We start from the raw sequence: 19,973 nt of genomic DNA on the forward strand, positions 1-19,973 counted from the left end.
AGCTGTGAACCCATCTGGTTCCTGGGCTTTTTTGGGTCAGTAGGCTATTTAATATTGCCTCAATTTCAGGGCTCATTATTGGTCGGTTCAGGAATTCAATTTCTTCCTGGTTCAGTCTTGGGAGAGAGTGTGTGTCCAGGAATTTATTTATTTCTGTAGATTTTCTAGTATATGTGCATAGAGGTGTGTATAGTACTCTCTGATGGTTGTTTGTATTTCTGTGGGGTCAGTGGTAATATACCCCTTATCATTTCTGATTATTGCTATTTGATTGTTCTCTGTTGTCTTTTTTATTAGTCTAGCTAGTAGTCTACTTTCTTAATTTTTTCAAAAAAAAAACAACCCCAGATTTGTTGATTGTTTTGAAGGGTTTTTTTTTTGTTTGTTTTTTTTTTTTTTTGTCTCTCTATCTCCTTTAGTTCCACTCTGATCTTGGTTATCTTTTGTCTTATTCTAGCTATGGTGTTTGTTTGCTATTGGTTCTCTAGTTATTTAGTTTTGTTGTTAGCTTCTTAATTTGAGATCTTCCTAGCTTTTTGATGTGGGCATTTAGTGATATAAATTTCCCTCTTAACACTGCTTTAGTTACATCCCAGAGATTTTGGTACACTGTCTCTCTGTTCTCATTTTTCAAAGAACTTCTTGATTTCTGCCTTAATTTCATTATTTACCCAAAAGTCTTTCAGGTGCAGGCTATTCCACTTCCATGTAATCATACGATTTTGAGTGGATTTCTTAGTCTTGATTTCTAATTTGATTGTGCTGCAGTCCAAGAGAATGTTTGTTATAATTTCATTTCTTTTGCATTTGTTGAGGAGTTTTTTACTTCCAAGTATGTGATCAATTTTAGAGTATGTGCCATACGATGAGGAGAAGAATCTATATTCTGTTGTTTTTAGGTGGAGAGTTCTGTAGATATCTATCAGGCCCATTTGAGCCTGTGCTGAGTTAAGGTCCTAAATACGTTTGTTAATTTTCTGTCTCAGTGATCTGTCTAATATTGTTAGTGGGGTGTTTAAGTCTCTCACTATTATTGTGTGGGAATCTAAGTTTCTTTGCAGGTCTCTAAAAACTTGCTTTATGAATCTGGGTACTCCTGTATTGGGTGCTCATATATTTAGGATAGTTAGATCTTCTTGTTGAATTGAACCCTTTACCATTATATAATGCCCTGTTTGTCTTTTTTGATCTTTGTTTGTTTGAAGTCTGTTTTGCCAGAAACTAGGATTGCAATTCCTGATTCTGATTTCCATTTGCTTTGTACATTATTTCTCCATCCGTTTGTTTTTACCATATATTTGTCATTACATGTGAGATGGGTCTCTTGAAGACAGCTGATATGGTTTGTCTCTGTGTCCCCACCCAAATCTCATGTCAAATTGTAATTTCCAATGTTGGAGGAGGGACCTGGTAGGAAGTGATGGGATCATGGGGGTTGTTCTCTTGTTGTTCTCATGATAATGAGTGAGTTCTCATGAGATCTGGTTGTTTAAAAGTGTGTAGCACTTCTTCCTTTGCTCTCTCTCCTGCCACCATGTGAAGACGTTCCTTACTTCCCCTTTGTCTTCTGCCATGATTGTAAGTTTTCCAAGGCTTCCCCAGCCATGCCTCCTGTACAACATGCAGAACTGTGAGTAAATTAGGCCTATTTTCTCCATAAATTACCCAGTCTCATATATGTCTTTATACCAGTGTGAGAATGGACTAATCCAACAGCATACAAGTGGGTCTTGGTTTTTTACCCAGGCTGCCATTCTGTGTCTTTTAATTGGGTCATTAAGCCCATGTATATTTTAGATTAGTATTGATATGTGTGGATTTGATTCTGTCATCATGATGTTAGCTGGTTATTTTGCAGACTTTTTAGTGTGGTTGCTTTATAGTGTCACTGGTCTGTGTACTTCAGTGTGTTTCTGTTATGCCTGGTAACAGTTTTTCCTTTCCATATTTAGTGCTTCCTCAGGAGCTCTTGTAAGGCAGGTCTAGAAGTAACAAATTCCCATATTCCCTCAGCATTTGCTTGTCTGAAAAGGATTTTATTTCTCCTTTGCTTATGAAGCTTAGTTTGGCCAGACATTAAATTCTGGCTTAGAATTTCCATCCTTTAAGAATGTTGAATACTGGTGCCCAGTCTCTTCTGGCTTGTAGGTTTCAGCTAAGTGTTCCACTGTTAGTCTGATGGGCTTCTCTTGTAGGTGACCTGACCATTCTCCCTAGGTGCCTTAAAATTTTTTCTTTCATTTAGACCTTGGAGAATCTGATGATTATGTGTCTTGAGAATGATCTTTTGAAGTATCTGACCAGGGTTCTTGGCATTTCCTGAATTTGAATGTTGGCCTCTCTAGTTAGGCTGGGGAAGTTTTCATGGATGATATCCTGAAATATATTTTCCAAGTTGGTTCCATTCTCAACATTTCTTCCAGGTACACCAATCAGTCATAGATTCAATCTTTGTACATAATCCTTTATTTCTCAGAGATTTTGTTCATTCCTTTTCATTCTTTTATCCTCTATTATTGTTGCCTTTTATTTCAGAAAGCCAGGCTTCAAGCTCTGATATTATTTCCTCTGCTTGGTCTATTCGGTCATAGATTCAATCTTTGTACATAATCCTGTTATTTCTCAGAGATTTTGTTCATTCCTTTCCATTCTTTTTTCCTCTATTCTTGTTCCCTGTCTTTTGTTTCAGAAAGCCAGTCTTCAAGTTCTGAGATTATTTCCTCTGCTTGGTCTATTCTGCTATTAATTCTTGTGATAACATTATTATATTCCTGTAGTGTGTTTTTTCAGCTCTGTCAGGTCAGTTACAGAGCTTTACTGGATATTTTGTCTTTTCTTTACTGGATATTTTGTCTGTCAACTCCTGCAACGTTTTATCATGATTTTTAGTTTCCTTGCATTGGGTTTCAATGTACTCATGGAGCTCAATGAACTTCATTCCTATCCATATTCTGAATTTTATTTCCGTCATTTCAGCCATCTCAGCCTCTGCATAGTTCCAAACACTTGCTGGAGAGGTAATGTGGTCATTTGGAGGAAAGAAGGCACTCTGGCTTTTTGAGCAATTTTTTGCTGATTCTTTCTCATCTTTGTGGGTTTATCTACCTTCAATCTTTGAGGTAACTTGTAGGGAGACCCCCTGAAACTATTGCTATGGAATAAAAGAGGAAATGCTCCTGATTATTGTAAATACAAAATCGCATGCAAGATTGTGTTAAGACAATGCCAGGTTGGACTGCCAGAATGAGCCAACAGCATGTGATGTGCTTCCCCCTGCAGAGAGCCTATGAACGGACTTGCAGTCAGGGAGGTTTCACATCACCAAGATTCCTATCCCAGAAAAGCAGATGTTTGTAGCTCTGGGGATGGAAAGTGACCCTTGTGGAGAGCCTAGAATTGGATGCATGAGGGGCGCCTGTTCATATGGATAAGATAAGGCTATAAACGCCCTCATCTTGCCATGGCTCTTCGAGGCCTCTTTAGGGTTAAGGCATACTCCCTTCTGAGAATTTCTGGTCTAACCGGTTGTCTAGCTTCACATCCTGTTTCTATGGATTGTTTGTAACCAGCTTTTGCTGCAACTGTTACTGCTGATTAATATCTTGCTAGTCATAGGTTACGAGAAGACTGTGTTTCTATTTTAAGACTCTGTTAGAAATTACTGATGCACACACTATATTGTAAATTCTTATCTCTGTATACTGTACTTCTGCATACAGATGTTATGTTAAAGAATTTCTTCATCCTCATGTGACCATCTCACCTCATAATCAAACAACCCTAAATCCCTCACTAACCTACCCCTGCCCTCACTAAACTCAATAATAAATGCTGGTATATCCAGTGCATTGGCGGCATCACGGGACTAGAAGGCGGTGACCCCCCTGGACCCAGCTTTCACTATCTTGTGTGTGTCTATTATTTCTTGACCTGCCGATCCGCCTGGGAACAAAGAAAGAGCCCTGTTGCATTGTGGGCTGCTGGCCAGATCCTGCAATAGTTACTAATCTTTGAATGTTTTTTCTTTTATCCTATTTGATGACCTTGAGGGTGTGATTGTAGTATAAGGTGGATTCAGTTGTCTGGCTTCATTTCTGGGAAATTTTAAGTGGCCAATGCTCAGCCCCCAACTCCTGGGCTACATGCTGTAACTCTGGAGGACTTGTATTGGGTCCTGACTTTGTTGTCTGGCTCCTTGAGGTTTGGAGTCCACCACTCGGGGTGGGGGTGGTGGCAAGATGCAGTAGCTGCAGCAGAGTGCTAGTGGATGCAGTGGTGGCTGGCTCCCTGTGGATGTTAATCACAGTGAGGGAGGCAAGGCAGCTTAGGAGGAAAGCGGAGGTCGGGGGGGCCTGCTGAAGACTGTGTGTGCTGTTGCATGGAAGTGGAGTTGGCTTGGACAAGGTGCTGGCCAGTGCAGGTCTGGGTACCTTCTCTGTGCTCTGCAAGCTGGAGTGATGGCTCAGGGAGGATACCTTGTTCTCTTCCCAGTGTTAGAGCAAGAGCAGGGCACTGGCTGAGGTGGGGTTTGCTGGCTCTGTTCCCATCAAGGCTCCCTCTGCAGTGGCAGTCTGGTGGGGTTGAGAGGTGTACTGCACTCACACATGCTGGTGGAGCAAGTAAAGCAAAACCTGCCCATGCAGACATGCATCAGTAAAGTGATGTGGGGAGTTGCCATGGGATTAGGGGAAGCTGCACTATGGGGAGGGTGCATGTGGGTTGGTATGCAGCCTTAGAAGCTGCCTCTCTGGAGCTCTTCACTGCTCAGGGATGGTCTGCTGGCACAGAAGCCATGGTGTGGATTCTCAGGGAACCCAAGACTGCCCTATAAGAAGTCATGGCCAGGCTGGGGCCCCTAGAGAGGTCAGCAGACCAAGGAGTGCTCAGGTTGAACCAGCCCCATCTGAGGTGCTCCACCGCCCTTCAGAGGTCAAATCTGTCAGTTCCCTTAGGGCTAAAGTCTCCTATGGCAGCAAGTTGAGCCTAGAGGGATGTTCTTCCCTGGCCCTTCTCCACTACAGCCACTCCCACCACCACACCGCAGCCACTCTGCGCTTCACATCAGCTCGCCTGCTGCCCCACCACTTCTCTAAGCAGCTCCTCCTGCCACCTCAATTGTCCATGGTGGTCGAAGGGTTCCCTCCTGTCAGGAATCCAGAGGCCCATGACAAGAGTGGGTTGCTCCTTGCCAGTTCAACTAACCCATTCCCCCAGAGCTGTTGTGGTTCAATAATGAGCCCCAGTGTGCAGTAGCCCTTTCAAGGTTCTCAGTTTTTTACCCTTCAGATCAACTTCTGTGTCTTCCCTCTCTCCACTCTCAGCGCCTTCCCTCTGAAGATCTGTTAAAAGCACGCCAGTATTCTCAATCCCTCTGTGGGAGCCACTCCACTTGTCTGCATCTAGTCAGTCTTCTTGCCCCCCCATCTCAGTTTCCAAGCCAGTTAATTTTGTCTCAACCTCTCTGCACCCAGGTCACTGGACTGTTAGTTACTGTTGGCCATGGGGCTCCTTCAAGTAGAAGCTGCAGCTGGCAAACAGGCTACACCCTTCCTGGACCAGTCTTGTGGAGGGAGGTACTCGCAGCTCCTGTGCCATCCCTGAAACCCACATCTCACCCTACTCAGTGTTCAGAGAGTGGGGGCTCCTATCCAACTCATGCTCTGGCTACAGATCTCAGCTTGATATTCCTGAGCTGTGTGCTTGAACCCTGGGAGGTTGGGATTGGCTTTGTCCTCTGGCCCCTCAGAGTTGAGCCCTGGCTGTGCTGAGGTGACCATAGTGTCCTAGGCCACTGGCAAAGTACCCAGGTGGGGCAGTGGAGGCTGTGCAGTGTGCATGCTCTCATGGGAGTGGCCAGGCAGGGGTCTTGGGAGGGGCCAGCAGACAGCGGGGTGTGCAGATCAGACATGCCCAAGTCCATCAGGAAAGACCACCCTTCTCTCTCCCAGCCTGGCCGTCAGCAGGAGCTAGAGCAACTGGGAGCAAGATGGAAAGCCTTGGGGAATAGGCATCTATGGTCGCATTTTGCTGTAGCTTCCCTGCATGCAAAACCTTCTGAGCTCCAAGCAGGCTTGAGCTTTGGGTTTGCCTACTCTTCAGGCAGTTTCTCTTGCAAATTCAGATGTCTATGGGGTCATGGGATCTCTTGTAGCTAGGATCCCAGAGGTCCACGGCAGGAGCATGTTTCCCTGCAGTTTCTTTTCTCATCCCTTCCTTAGGTTCCCTTCAAGGCCAGGAGCTGCGCCGGCACTCAGCAACTCTGTGCAGGGTTCCAGGCTTTTGCCCTGTTCTACCACAGTAGACTTCCAGTATATTTTTTTTCTCAAAAGATCTGTTTGAAGTGTGATAGTTTACTTGATATTTTGGTATCTCTCAGTCGGCGAAGTGCTTCCCATCTGCATCTGGCAGGCTATCTTGTCTCCTCCCATTATTTTCTTTTATCTTACAACAACTTTGTATGTGTATTGACCACAGTCTTTTGTTCTTGTTTCAGTGAGATGGGTTTTTCACAGTTTCAGAAGAGGAGTGTAGGCCTTCAGAGCATTCCTGCTGTGAAATAAAATAAATCCTGGGGCCCCCAAATCACTAGACTAAAAAGAAAAGTCAAGCTTGGAATCCCTTAAGGCAAACTTGCCCCCCATTCTATTCAAAGTCACCCCTCTGCTCACTGAGATAAATGCATATGTGATTGCCTCCTTTGGAGAGGCTAATCAGAAATTCGAAAGAATACAACCATTTGTCTCTTATCTATCTATGACCCGGAAGCCCCCTCCCCACTTGGAGTTGTCCCACCTTTTGGACCAAACCAGTGTTCATTTTACATATGTTGATTAATGTCTCATGTATCCCTAAAATGTATGAAAGCAAGCTGTGCTCTGACAACCTTGGGCACATGTTGTCAAGACCTCCTAAGGCTATGGGTGCACATTCTCAACCTTAGCAAAATAAACTTTCTAAATTAACCGAGACTTGTCTCAAATATCTGGGGTTCACATTGCTTCACAGATGTAGAGGTCTCTTTTCTTATTGTTGTGAAGTGGTTAGATATATGATCTCCTCGTGCCACTGCACTCCAGCCTGGGTGACAGAGTGAGACTCCGTCTCAAAAAAAAAAATAAAAATTATATATATCTCCTTCTTTCTGTGACCTACTTTCTCTGTTCTCTTCCCCTACTTTTATCTGGATCTTTTCTTTGGTCCTACATGTCTCTATCCTGCTAAATTTAAATTCTACTCATAGTAGATTCTTCTCAATTCTGGTCTTTGACCTAAAAAGGAACTATCATATTTCAAGTTTTCATATGATACAAACTGACTTGCACCATCTGACTTTTGCTGTACTTTTGCACTTGCAAATTACAGCCCATGAAACCAGTTCCAGTTTTGGTGCTGTTTTAAGAATGGCTCACTGAACTTTCCAAAATAGATGTCTCCATTTTAAGTCCTTGAGCAATTCAATTTTAGGGTCCTGCAGCTTTCCCAGCTATCAGTAATCCTTTTACCTACTCCCTGCTTCACCCTTCACAGTTACCATTACTATGTGAAATTTATTCTAGTTAGTTTGACCTCAATTTCTCACATTTTAGAGTTCATGGAGATACTTTGTTGTTCACTTTTGTTGTAGATTTTGGCAGCATGTTTTGTATTCCAGTTGCATTGCCTGTTTTGTAGGGGAAATTGGAAAAGTCAAAAACTGTGCTGCATTCTAAAATATTTCTTTGAACTCTTCCCTACATTTCTTCCTAATAATTTTAAAGATTTGCCTTTCTGTATGTAATTATTTATTCCAGCTGACTTTTATTTTCAAGTAAGATATTAAGTAATGCTTTGACCTTATTTTTCCCATTTATGACATTCCCCCCCCCGCATATATGCATCTTTCCCTCCTCTTAATTGTAATCTTGTATCTCTTACAAGTGTTCATAGAAACTTGATTCTGTTTGAGTATCTCTATTCTGTATTTCTATCCTTTTACCAAGGCAACTTGGTATAATTATGGTAATTATACCAAGTAATTATAATTATGGTGTAATTACCATAGTAATTATATTTCTTGATATTTTATAATTCTGCTACCTCCTCCCTGTTCATTGTCTTGTTCAAAATTTTTTGTCTGTTTTTGTCTTTCTCTCGTCTTATCATTTTATTATCAGCATGATAATTTTGCTAAAAATATTGTGATTTTAGAAAGATTTGACTTTTTTAACATATCAATTTTTTTGTACCTATGCATATAGATCACCATTTATTTATGGTGACTTTTATATACTCCATAAAATCTTTATAACTTTCTCCATTAATAAATTACAGGTATTTTCTTAGATCCTATTCAATCTTTAATAGTGGTGGGACAAATACCACTCTTGCTACTATTACTAAGGAGTATTCTTTCAAATTTTAAAATAAAATACGATGTTTGTTCTGTATTTTTGGAATTCTTTTTCTCAGGTAATGAAAGATACTTCTATTCCAAGTTTAACATGAGTTTTATCATGAGTAAGTATTTAATTTTATTGAAGGCCTTTGGCATTTTACATCACGTGTTTTATTTTATTTTAAACTGTTAATGTAATAAGTATGTTACCAGGTTTTTTCCCCAATATTAAACCATTCTTGTATTACTGGGTTAAATCCACCCTGCGTGTGATGCATATATCATGATTTATATGTCACATGACACAAATTCAGAAATAAGACTTTTGGCAATTGGCTCCTGTCTTTCACAAATGTTTTCAAACGATGGTGGAACAAAGTACTTGTCTTCATTAAGGAATGAGTGGCATAGAAAAGAGGGCAAAGAAAAATGGAATATTAGTGAATAGCTCTTCTTTGGGAAACAGAGAGCTGGAAAGTGGATCCCCACATCTTGGTATTCTCCAAGCCTACTCTTACCAGACCACTGCTGTTGTAGAAATCACAACTGGCCACTGAACCAAGACACCAGATCATCTCCAGGACTGAGACAGATCTGTATCATGCAGCTGGGTCCTAGAACTTCCAGCTGACTAGCTCCATAGGCTCAAACCAAATATTCATTAGCCTTATAATAAAGAAATTCACGAATATATGAGATGCATTTTTTTGCATTCTGTCTACTCCATATACAGTTTTGCTAAGAGAGGTGCTCTCTGCCAGTAGGCCTGAAATTTAAATGAATTGAACCTCATAATTTGGAGCCTTGATGAAATGGAAATGTTGACTTATTTCAGAATCCAACTTGAAGCCAGGACAATTTAAGATACAGCCTTGAAGCTGAGAATATTGAAGTGCTAGGTCTTTCCAAGAAATCTTATTTAAATGTTCTCTCTTAGTCATAGAAGTGAACCTCAGAAAAAACTGGATTAAGAGGTAGTTTATTTCCTCCTGAGGCTATTGTTTCAAATTTACTCAAAGGAGCAACCATTAAGATGAAGCAAATGCCAGCACTTTGGGAGGTCGAGGCGGGCGGATCACGAGGTCAGGAGATCGAGACCATCCTGGCTAACACAGTGAAACCCCGTCTCTACTAAAAATACAAAAAAAAAAAAAAATTACCTAGGCGTGGTGGCGGGCGCCTGTAGTCCCAGCTACTCAGGAGGCTGAGGCAGGAGAATGGAGTGAACCTGGGAGGTGGAGCTTGCAGTGAGCCTAGATTGCGCTGCTGCACTCCAGCCTGGGCGACAAAGTGAGACTCCGTCTCAAAAAAAAAAAAAAAAAAGATGAAGCAAATGGGGCAAAGAGGCCCACAAATAAATGACTAAATGACTAAAACTTTTAGTCTAAAAGAGTGCTTCTCAAACTATCTGTGTGAAGGACTCATCTCCCCCACCGCTTCATTGCAGACCAATTCTTTGTAAAATACAATGAAAATAAATTACTATGAAAACGACATATAAAAGAAAAATAAAGACATAAAAATAAACACATTTTTAATTATCATATGTAACAGATAGAATTACTCTTTCAAAATGCTATAACAATTTCTCAATTTTATTATCTATTTCTGTTCTTGTCATGGAACAATTAAAAAACTGTTCACTGGCTGTCACTGGTCCTTGGGCCACACTGAGTAGCACTGCTCTGAAGACTGTACGTCTCTAGATAAGATCTTTGGCTGTCATTACTTGCTCACTGACGTGACTAGAAACCAATAGATGGGAAAGCTTTGAGAAATTTCTCTATGTCAAAAATAACATGCCCATCTAGACACAGCCTGTGACTGTTTAACTTCTAAAACAATCCCCTTGGCCCACCTCCAAACTCACGTCAACATCAAGTTTATTGGAAAACATGCAACACCTAGGTATTAATACATCCTCTTTAACATTCATCTCAGCTGTGATCAAATAGACAGAAGAATCTTCCAGAGTACAAAACCAGAGAGAAGTGAGGAAGACAGAGTCTTGGCAGAAAGCATCACCCTATGCATATATCAAGTTGACTAAAGTGGAAGTATTTCCTCTGCTTGGATAAAGAATCCTTATGATTATTGTACCTTGGGACTTAATATGCCCTGTAGACGATTGGTTTTCTTAATTCTTTTTTTTTTTTTTAAATAAGAAGGGTTATTGTAGTAATCCTATTTACTCTACATTCTATATAAGTAGAATTCTTTGAAGGGGCATTTATGGGAAAGGTTTTCTTTTAAAATTAGACAGACATTCCCCTTCCTTCTTCTTCCTGCCTTGAACATTGATTAGATGTCTGGAGCTGCAATAACCATTTTTCAGACATGAGATACAAATCATGAACTAGATCTTGGAAACTGCAGTAACCCATTTTCCAGGCATGAAATCCAAACATGAAAATGAAAGAGTAGGAAAACTAAGACCCTGAGACATTATGGCTTTGTTGAGGAATTAACCAATGTTAGCCATTGTGGAACGCTGGATTTTCTAATATGAAAAAAGTTCACATTAAGCTATATCTAACATTCTACTTATTACATATTTAACATTATCTTTTGTCTTCTTCTGTAGCTGTTGTAAAGTTGGCTATCAGTTTTAGTTATTGCTCATTTGTGGATGATGTCTGTTTTTTTCTTTAATGTTTTTCAGTTTCACTACACTGTGTCTCAGTCTGGATTTCATTTTATTTATCCTGCCTGATCTAATGTGCATTTTCAACCTGAGAATTTATGTCTACTATAAATTTGGAAAAGTTTCTGTAATTTCTCTTGAATATTGATTCTCATTCTCTGCAAGCAAGTTTTTCTCTATGCTTTTTTTTTCTCCAAAAAACACTACTAAAATTGTCTCTGTTCTCTGAAAAAATTTTTTCTGTCTTACACTCTGGTTTTACATGCATGAAACATTTTTGTCTTCTTAATTGCACTGGAATCTCTAGATTTGAAGAAACTGTTTTTTAAACTTGTTCATATGCCTTGCTAAGACATGGTACAATGACTGCCACACCTTAATGCCTGATTAGTATTAGAATTATTTTAGTTTTCTCTGTCATGTTTCAAAGCAACAGACTCATTTTATTTTCATGTCTCTGGGCATTTCTCTCCTTAAACAGTTAAATAATTTAAAAGATTGTAATACTCCAAATTAAATAAATACATATTTTGTATACAAATAATTTCACTTAAAGAGTTTATAAAATAAAGATAATGGCTTCTTCCATTTCAATTATTATCAAGAGTTATAGATGGAGAGGAATAAAAATCCTCAGTGAAAATGAAAATGAATTCGAATGATGTTAATAGAATCAAATCTCTAGTAACATTACCTTAAGCAAGATTGATTTAAAATGTAATATAAAGTCATTAAGAAGTATATTCTTCTATGCACATTTTCCCAGTGAGGATAAATATTGTTTTAAATGAGATAAATTGACTGAATATGTATTCTTGCTGCATCATTTCAACTAAGCATGAGATCTGACATTCCTGTGGGATTCTGTCTTTCCAGAGTTGGTTGTCTTATGTGTCTAGCCTTACGGATATTTGGTTACAAGGAATGGGAAACAACTCAAGTCAAATTAAACAAAAATAGAAGGCATCAAATGCAAGTAAGATTTACGTTTTATATTTTTCTTTGTTGGTCTGGTTAGATGTATATTAATTTATTCACTTTTTTAGGAATCAGAGTCTGGTTACTTTAATTTTCTTCATTGTTTTCATTTTCAGTTTTATTCACTTTTGCTCTTCATTGCTTATTTTCTTCTGTTTACTTGGGGTTTATACTAACTCCTTTTATGATTTCTTAGTGGAAGCACATATCATTGAGATGAGACCCTTCCTATTTTTAATTTCATAATTGAATGCTATAACTGCCTCCAGTACTGCTTTGGCCGTCTCTCATAGATTGTTATTACTGAGTTTTATTCTCATTTGTTTCAAAATGTTTTCCAGTTTTCTTTCTAATTCCTCCTTGAAACATGGTGTGTCTTATTTAAAAGAGTGTTATTTAATTTATAATTATCTGAAAGTTTTCCAGCTATCTTTCTTTTATTGATTTCTAGTTTAATTCCATTATGATCATAGGTCATATTTTATAAGATTTAAATCCTTCTATTTTGTTAAGCTTTGATTTTTTCCCCCAAAATATGATCTACCATGGTGAATAGTCTATGTGTACTTGCAAAACTGTGTACTCTGATGCTTTTGGGTGGCAATTAAGTCAGAGTAGTTTTTAATGTTATTCAGATGTTCCATATCCTTTCTGATTTTTCCATCTTTCTGTTTTATCAATTTATTTAGAGAAAAATGCTGAAGTCCTCAACTTTAAGTGTAGACTTACCTATTTCTCCTTCCCTTCTTTTAGTCTGCATCATGTATTTTGAAGCCCTACTGTTAGGAACATAAGCATGTCTTTTTGGTGAATTGAGCCCTTTATCAATAGGTAACACCCTTCTTTATCTCTAGTACTATTCTTTGTTTTGAATTTTGAATTATTAGGTATTAACATAGTTACTCTTTTCTTTTAATTAATGTATGCATGCTATGTCTCTTAATTAATGTATGCATGCTTTGTCTTTTAATACATTTTTACTTGTAAACCAATCTAAATGTTTATATTTAAAAGTATGTTTCTTATAGACATGATTATGGTTATTCATTTTAATATGATCTGATGAAGTATGGCTTTAATTTTTGTGTTTTGATAATATACATAGACAGTAAGTATTTTTATGGCTTGGTTAATATCTATCATCTTGGTAGTTTTTCTTTTTCTGTTTTTTTCCTTCTGTTTTAGATTACATCTTAACGAGTATTTTTTATTATATTTTATCTCTATTATTGGCTTATTATTTCTACCCTCATTTTAATTTATTTTAATTCTTGACCTTGGGCTTGCAATATACATCTTTAATTAATCAAAGCCTATCTTCAAATAGTATTATTCCACTTCAAACATGGTATGGGAATTTATGACTGTGTACTCAACAATATCTCTAGTCTATGTTTTTTGGCTATTGTTTTATGTTTTAGTTTCACTTATGTGCCCAACCCACAAATCATTGCTTATTTTAAGAGTAGAAAATGGGCCGGGCACAGTAGCTCACGCCTGTAATCCCAGCACTTTGGGAGGCTGAGGCGGGCAGATCACGAGGTCAGGAGATCAAGACCATCCTGGCTAACACGGTGAAACCCCCTCTCCACTAAAAATACAAAAAATTAGCCGGGCAAGGTGGCGGGCGCCTGTAGTCCCAGCTACTCGGGAGGCCGAGGCAGGAGAATGGCGTGAACCCTAGGGGGCAGAGCCTGCAGTGAGCCGAGATCACGCCACTGCACTCCAGCCTGGGCGACAGAGAGACTCCGACTCAAAAAAAAAAAAAAAAAAAGTAGAAAATGATTTTTTAGAGATATTAAAAATAAGAAAAATAATTCTTTTATTTTTTTAACCATTTCTAGGAATCCTCATTTCTTTATGTATATTCAAGTTTCTGTGTGATGTCATAATCTTTTTTCCTAAAGAACGTCCTTTCACATTTCTTATAGTTCATATCTGCTGTTAAAGAATGCTCCTAGTTTTTCTTTGTTAGAAAAAGTATTTATCTCTCAGTTTTAAATGATATCTTTATTATGTATAGTGTCAATAGTATTTTTCTTTCGGCACTTTGAAAATGTCACTCTATTTTTTCTAGCATGCACAATTTCTGGCAAGAAGTCTGCTGTATTTGTTCTCTGTGTTTTTTTTCTATGTAATGTGACTCTTTCTCTGGATGACTTTGAGATTTTCTTTTTATCTTTTGTGGTCAGCATTTTGAATATCATGTTTCTAGATATTTATTATCATTATTATTATTTTGGAAAAATAGGGTTTCACTCTATTGCAGATGCTGGAGTATAGTGGTGGGATCATACCTCACTGCAGCCTCGAACTTCTGGGCTTAAGTGATCCTCCCATTTCAGCCTCTCAAGTAGCCAGGACCACAGGTGTGCACCACCATGCCTGGCTAATTTTTGTATTTTCATTTTTGGAGATGGAATCTCATTTTACATCCCAGGCTGGTCTGGAACTCCTAGCCTCAAACAGTTCTTCCGCCTCAGTCTTCTGAGTTGGGATTACAGGTGTGAGCCACACACCTGGCTATTTTGTCCTGTTTGAGCTTCTCTGAGCCTCTAGGACCTGTGATTTTATGTTTTTAGTATTTTTGGAGACTTTTTAGCCACTCTCTTCAAATATTTCTTCAATGATGTCTCCCCCACCCACTACCCAAGTTTTAGTTTGGATTATTTCTATGGACCTTTCTTCAGGTCACTTATTCTTTCCTTGGCTGTCTCAAGTCTACTGATAGACAAGTTAAAGGTATTCTTCATCTCCATTACTATGATTCTTCCCCCTAGCATTTTAATTTGACTCTTTTTCCTTTTACATCTCTACAATGTTTTCACAACCACTTCTTCCATTCTCCATGTATTAGTTATCTATGCTGAATAACAAGTTAATCAAACTTGGCAGCTTGAAAAAAACAAATATTTATCATTTCACAATTTTTGTGGACCAGAAATCTGGAAGCAGCTTAGCTGACCAGAAATCTGGAAGCAGCTTAGCTGACCAGAAATCTGGAAGCAGCTTAGCTGAGAGATCTGGCTCAGGTTCTCTCATGTGGTTACAATCAAGCCATAGGACAGGGCTGCTGTCATCTGAAGGCTTGCCTGGAGATGGAGATTCTACTTCCAAGATGGCTCACTTCTACGGCTGTAGGCAGTGGGTCTCAGTTCCTCGACACCTATTGACAAAGACCCTGGCTTATCATCATGTGGGCCTTTTCATATGTCTGTCTGTCTTGACAACATGACAGTTGATGTTTTCCAAAGGAAGTGACCAAAGAAAGAGCAAGGCAGAAGCAACACATTTTTTTATGACCTAGTCTTGGATGTAAAATACCATCACTTTGGCTATATCTTATTTATTAAGTCCAGCCTACACCCAAAAGGAAGCAAATTAAGCTTCACCTCTTTAAAGGAATTTCAAGAAATTTGTGGACACATTTTAAATGGCCATAGCCTTGCTAAACCAAGTTTCAGCCTGAATGGTTACTTCCTTGGTTAGTTTTTGAGGCTGTCTTAAAACTGGATTGGTATCTCTTGTTAGTTCTCAGGAGGTACTTTGTCTAGTAGGCATTACATTTTTCAAAGTATTTCCTCTTTACTAGTCTGTCTTCTGTACTATAGAATAAGCAACTTGAAGGCAAAGATTGTGTCTTACTACATTTGTATCTCCAAGCCTGGCACAGTGCTTGGCCTTTGGTAGGCTTTCAACCAATGTTCATGGAAAAACAAATCATGCCACTCAACGAGGCACCTTTTCTGCCTTACCACATGATAAGCAGAGAAGGAGAGGGGTAGAAATAAATTGTATGGTGCACTCCCTGTTGTGCCTTGCAATCTGTATACATTATCTTATTTAGTGACAGACTGAAACTTTGATAGAAGCATAATCATATGGTAGGAAAGGATAAATAATTGTGCTTTTATACTCTCTTGCTACTTACTGCTGCAGAGTCTTGGGCAGCTAATTAAGACTCTAAGAACCTTAGTTTTCTCCTAAAAACATGAAAGAATATAATAATAATTGCCTTACCAACTTCACATTGTTTTAGTGAGGAGCAAATAAGACAATGTAAATGAAAGAGAGATACAAACTATACATATTATACAAGTATGTTAATATTATTATTTCTCAAATTTTTATAGAGCATAGGTGATATTGCCAAACATGAAGAAGATGCTTCAATTTTCAGGAATTTAATCAAAGGTGAAACCGTTATTCCACTGATAATCAGTAAGTTCCAAGGTCATTCATTCATTTAATATTGATTAACTCCTACCATATGCATATTCAAGACACAGCCCCTGTGTTCAGACACCTCAGTGTCTTCAGTTAAGTCCAGGATCCTGCAAAGTTTTCAAAATCTTTTTATACAAAGCTCTTATAAATTCACTGGTAAGAATCAACACTTTTAAAATGACAGAGGAAGGTTACTAAAACAGCAGTGCAAACGGTGAGCTAGAGGCCTTAGTCATTTCCTGAATCAGAAGTCTGGTGGCCCCTGCTCCTGCAGCAACATTGGCTCTCCTCTAAGAGCAGAAAGTGTTGGTGCCTGGCATTCAGCAAGTGCTCATTGTTCGTTAAAGGAATTAAACAAATGACTATCTCTTATATAAGAATCATCAGATGCTACATCTGGACTGGATGGCTAATCTAGCTTCCTGATTTTGCAAAGGAAGTAATAGAAGCTCAGTAAGGTCAATAAGTTCCAAGCTTATATAGGCATGAAATAGCAGAGTTTAAACTCTAAGAAATGTTCTGACTCCTTATTTTGTGCATTTCTCTCATTTGCATTCTCTCTCAGCATTTCTCTCAGCATTGTGCGTTCTCTCTCAGCATTCTGCTCCTCATTTTGTGCGTTTCTCTCAAAATATTGGACTCTACTTTGAGAGATTATTAATATAATTAGCTTTGCATTTGAATAATGAAGAAAAAATAACACTGATTTACCTAATAAACTTCTTCAAAGAAATACATATCAGCCCCTAAAGTCAAACCTGTGTCCATTGTGGGAAATAGTTGTCGGAAATAGGGGAACTCTTAGGGTACATGTGCCATTTTCTATGTCTGTTTTGGCTTTATGCAAGGAGAAATGTGGCTAGTTTTCAGAGAATCCAGGAATTTGTTAAGTTGATCATGTTCTTTGATTTAACTTGGCATGACTTGAAAGTATTATCATCTATTTGCTGTGCCATGGAGAAGTGGAGGAAGAAGTGTGTGGTTAAGCCAGTCAATTATGACATGGTTAGAAAAGTAACTCGGGGAAAAGACAAAACAGCCACTCTGTTTCAGTTTGTTTGGTTGAGGCACTTAAGACATATACTAATGCAGACCAGACTCCCCAGAAAGGCAAACTCTCCTGGGTATGAATATTATTACTCAATATGCCCCTGACATTAGGAGGAAGCTACAAAAAGCAGCAGTGGGACTTTAAACCCCTACGAGCCAGCTCTTAAACATGACCTTTAAGGTTTACAACAATAGGCACAGGGCAAAAGAGAGAGAGAGAGAACCAAAATAAATAGTAAAAAAGTGTAATTGTTAGCAGTTGTCTTAGGCCTTCTGTCAACTCAGAATTACCCATCCCAAGAAAGTGTCATGAGATCAGCATCTGGGATGCCCAGATGACAGCCCTTGACTTGCCAGCCCCTGAGACAAAATCACTGTGCCTTCTTCAGGAATGAGGGCCATTGGTCATGAGAATGTTCTAACTGTCCCTGGTGCATGGAAAAAAAGACTCTTCATCAATCTGTCCAGCCAGAAATGAAACCCAGGGCTTCCTCCATGTTCTAAAAATTCTGGGTAATAATTGCTGTGGGAAGGAGACTCATAGGCTTTCTGATACTAGAACTAGCTTTCTTGCACTAGTTGCAGCAAGCTGCCTTGCTTAAGTAAAACTACTGGGGGTCCTGGACCCTTCTTCTGATGGGCAGCTTCCCACAGTGGCAGTGAAGCAGGCATCTGAACATTATTCTTTGATGTCTCCACATCTGGGTAAGTTTTCTGGTGGACTGGGGACTCTGAGGTCTCCTCTGGAGCAATGTGGTTCATCCATTCCCTTCTATAGCGTCCCCTTCCCTGCCTCAGCCTGTCTTCCATACCTATTGGGGCAAACACAATTTGGTCAGGTGGATACGTTCCAATTTTGTAAATAACTTGGATCCAGCTGTCTTGTATATAGGTCACTTCATTTGTGTGATGTGTGTTGTGTCCAGCATGCTATCAAATTGGCTTATAAATAAAAGAGTGCTCATGAATTAAACAAGAATAGGCTAAACTTGATAGTTGGAAGAGAATGTTGTGTCTTCTAAAATTTAACTTCAAGATTTTTACCTAGGTAAACCACTGATGTTTTTAGGCTTTAGAATATTTTAAAAAGCTTTGAATGGGTAGCTTTTTGTATGGTTTAAATTCTTAAAAATTATAGAATGGTTCTCATCTATAAAATCCCAATATCTGGTAGGCAGTTCAGAATTTTCTGCCTCCTAAGTTTATATGAAATGTGCCAGGGGAAACATAGTTTTAATTGGAAAAAAGAATTTTTTTTTTTCCGATCTGGAACTTATTAAAAGGCTGGTTCAACACATGAAGGAACAAGTGAATAAAAAGAAAGATATGAGGAGAGTTATGGATAGAAGATACATTTTTTTTATGTGGGGAGGGATATAAAGAAAGAGTGATTTTGTATGAGGAGGGATTTTGTGTGGTAGATTCTTTTCCTAGAATAAAGTGACAGGTTATTTGGAAGAGAGGTGGCATAGGATAGGTCAGAGAGTCCAAGCATTGCAAAAGAGTGATGGGGTTTGTAAAGGGAAAGTTGTCAGGGGGATTTTGTATATTATTAAGCTGGCTGTGATTGAAGAAAAATTCTTTGTGATAGACTTTCTAGAAAATAATCTCCATATTGGAACTGGGTTTTCTTAAGATATTGATTTGTGTTACAGGAAATTTTTCTTTTAATGCTATAACTGGTTTCTTTTAATGCTATAACTGGTTTCTTTTAAAACTTCTCAGATTCATATCATAGATATTCAGCTGTTATTGTGACTCACTCCCTTTGAGAAGACTTGAGATAATAACTCTGCTTTAGGTTTTTAGTCAGCTCCTATAATATTTTCTCCTCCAGTTCTAACTGTTGTTATGACCTCATGCTAAAATATTTTATCTTAGAGGTCTATAAAAAGTGTGTGGTTAAGCCAGTCAATTATGACATGCTTAACCAATATAACTTGATTACATACTTTTGGCTGTTCTTTTTTTTTAACTTTTATTTTAGGTTTGGGGGTACATGTGAAAGTTTGTTACATAGGTAAACTCATGTCACAGGGGTTTATTGTACAGATTATTTCATTACCCAGGTATTAAGTCCAGTACCCAATAGTTATCTTTTCTGCTTCTCTCCATCCTCCCACCCCCCACCCTCAAGTAGACAGCAGGGTCCGTTGTTTCCTTCTTTGTGTTCATAAGTTCTTATCATTTAGCTCCCACTTATAAGTGAGAACATGCAGTATTTGGTTTTCTGTTGCTGAATTGGTTTGCTAAGGATAATAGCCCCCAGCTCCATCCATGTTCCTGCAAAGGACATGAATTTTTTCTTTTTTAATGGCTGCATAGTATTCCATGGTGCATATGTACCACATTTTCTTTATCCAGTCTGTCACTGATGGCATTTAGATTGATTTCATGTCTTTGCTATTGTGAATAGTGCTGCAATAAACATTCACATGCATGTGTCTTTATGGTAGAATTATTTATATTCTTCTGGGTATATACTCAGTAATTGGATTGCTGGGTCAAATGGTAATTCTGCTTTTAGCTCTTTGAGGAATCAGCATACTGCTTTCCACAATGGTTAAACTAATTTACACTCCCACCAACAGTATGTAAGTGTTCCCTTTCCTCTGCAACCTCGTCAGCATGCTATTATTTGACTTTTTAATAGTAGCCATTCTGACTGGTGTGAGATGGCATCTCATTGTGGTTTTGACT

At 38.6% G+C, this 19,973-nt stretch overlaps 1 long non-coding RNA gene across 1 annotated transcript in view, besides 1 other annotated feature; it reads left to right on the forward strand.

Annotated features, from left to right (window-relative positions):
- The window catches only part of LINC01788 (long intergenic non-protein coding RNA 1788), an 80,016-nt gene that overhangs the window by 42,022 nt on the left and 18,021 nt on the right, over positions 1–19,973 (forward strand). The window lies entirely within an intron of this gene.
- Positions 14,858–15,058: a silencer, noted in NCBI's record as "peak284 fragment used in MPRA reporter construct". NCBI's record gives its function as "represses an SCP1 promoter by STARR-seq MPRAs in K562 erythroleukemia cells {active_cell/tissue: K562}" and the evidence as "EXISTENCE:reporter gene assay evidence [ECO:0000049][PMID:32103011]".

Source organism: Homo sapiens, chromosome 1, assembly GCF_000001405.40.
Source record: "Homo sapiens chromosome 1, GRCh38.p14 Primary Assembly".
Taxonomy (NCBI): Eukaryota; Metazoa; Chordata; class Mammalia; order Primates; family Hominidae; genus Homo; species Homo sapiens.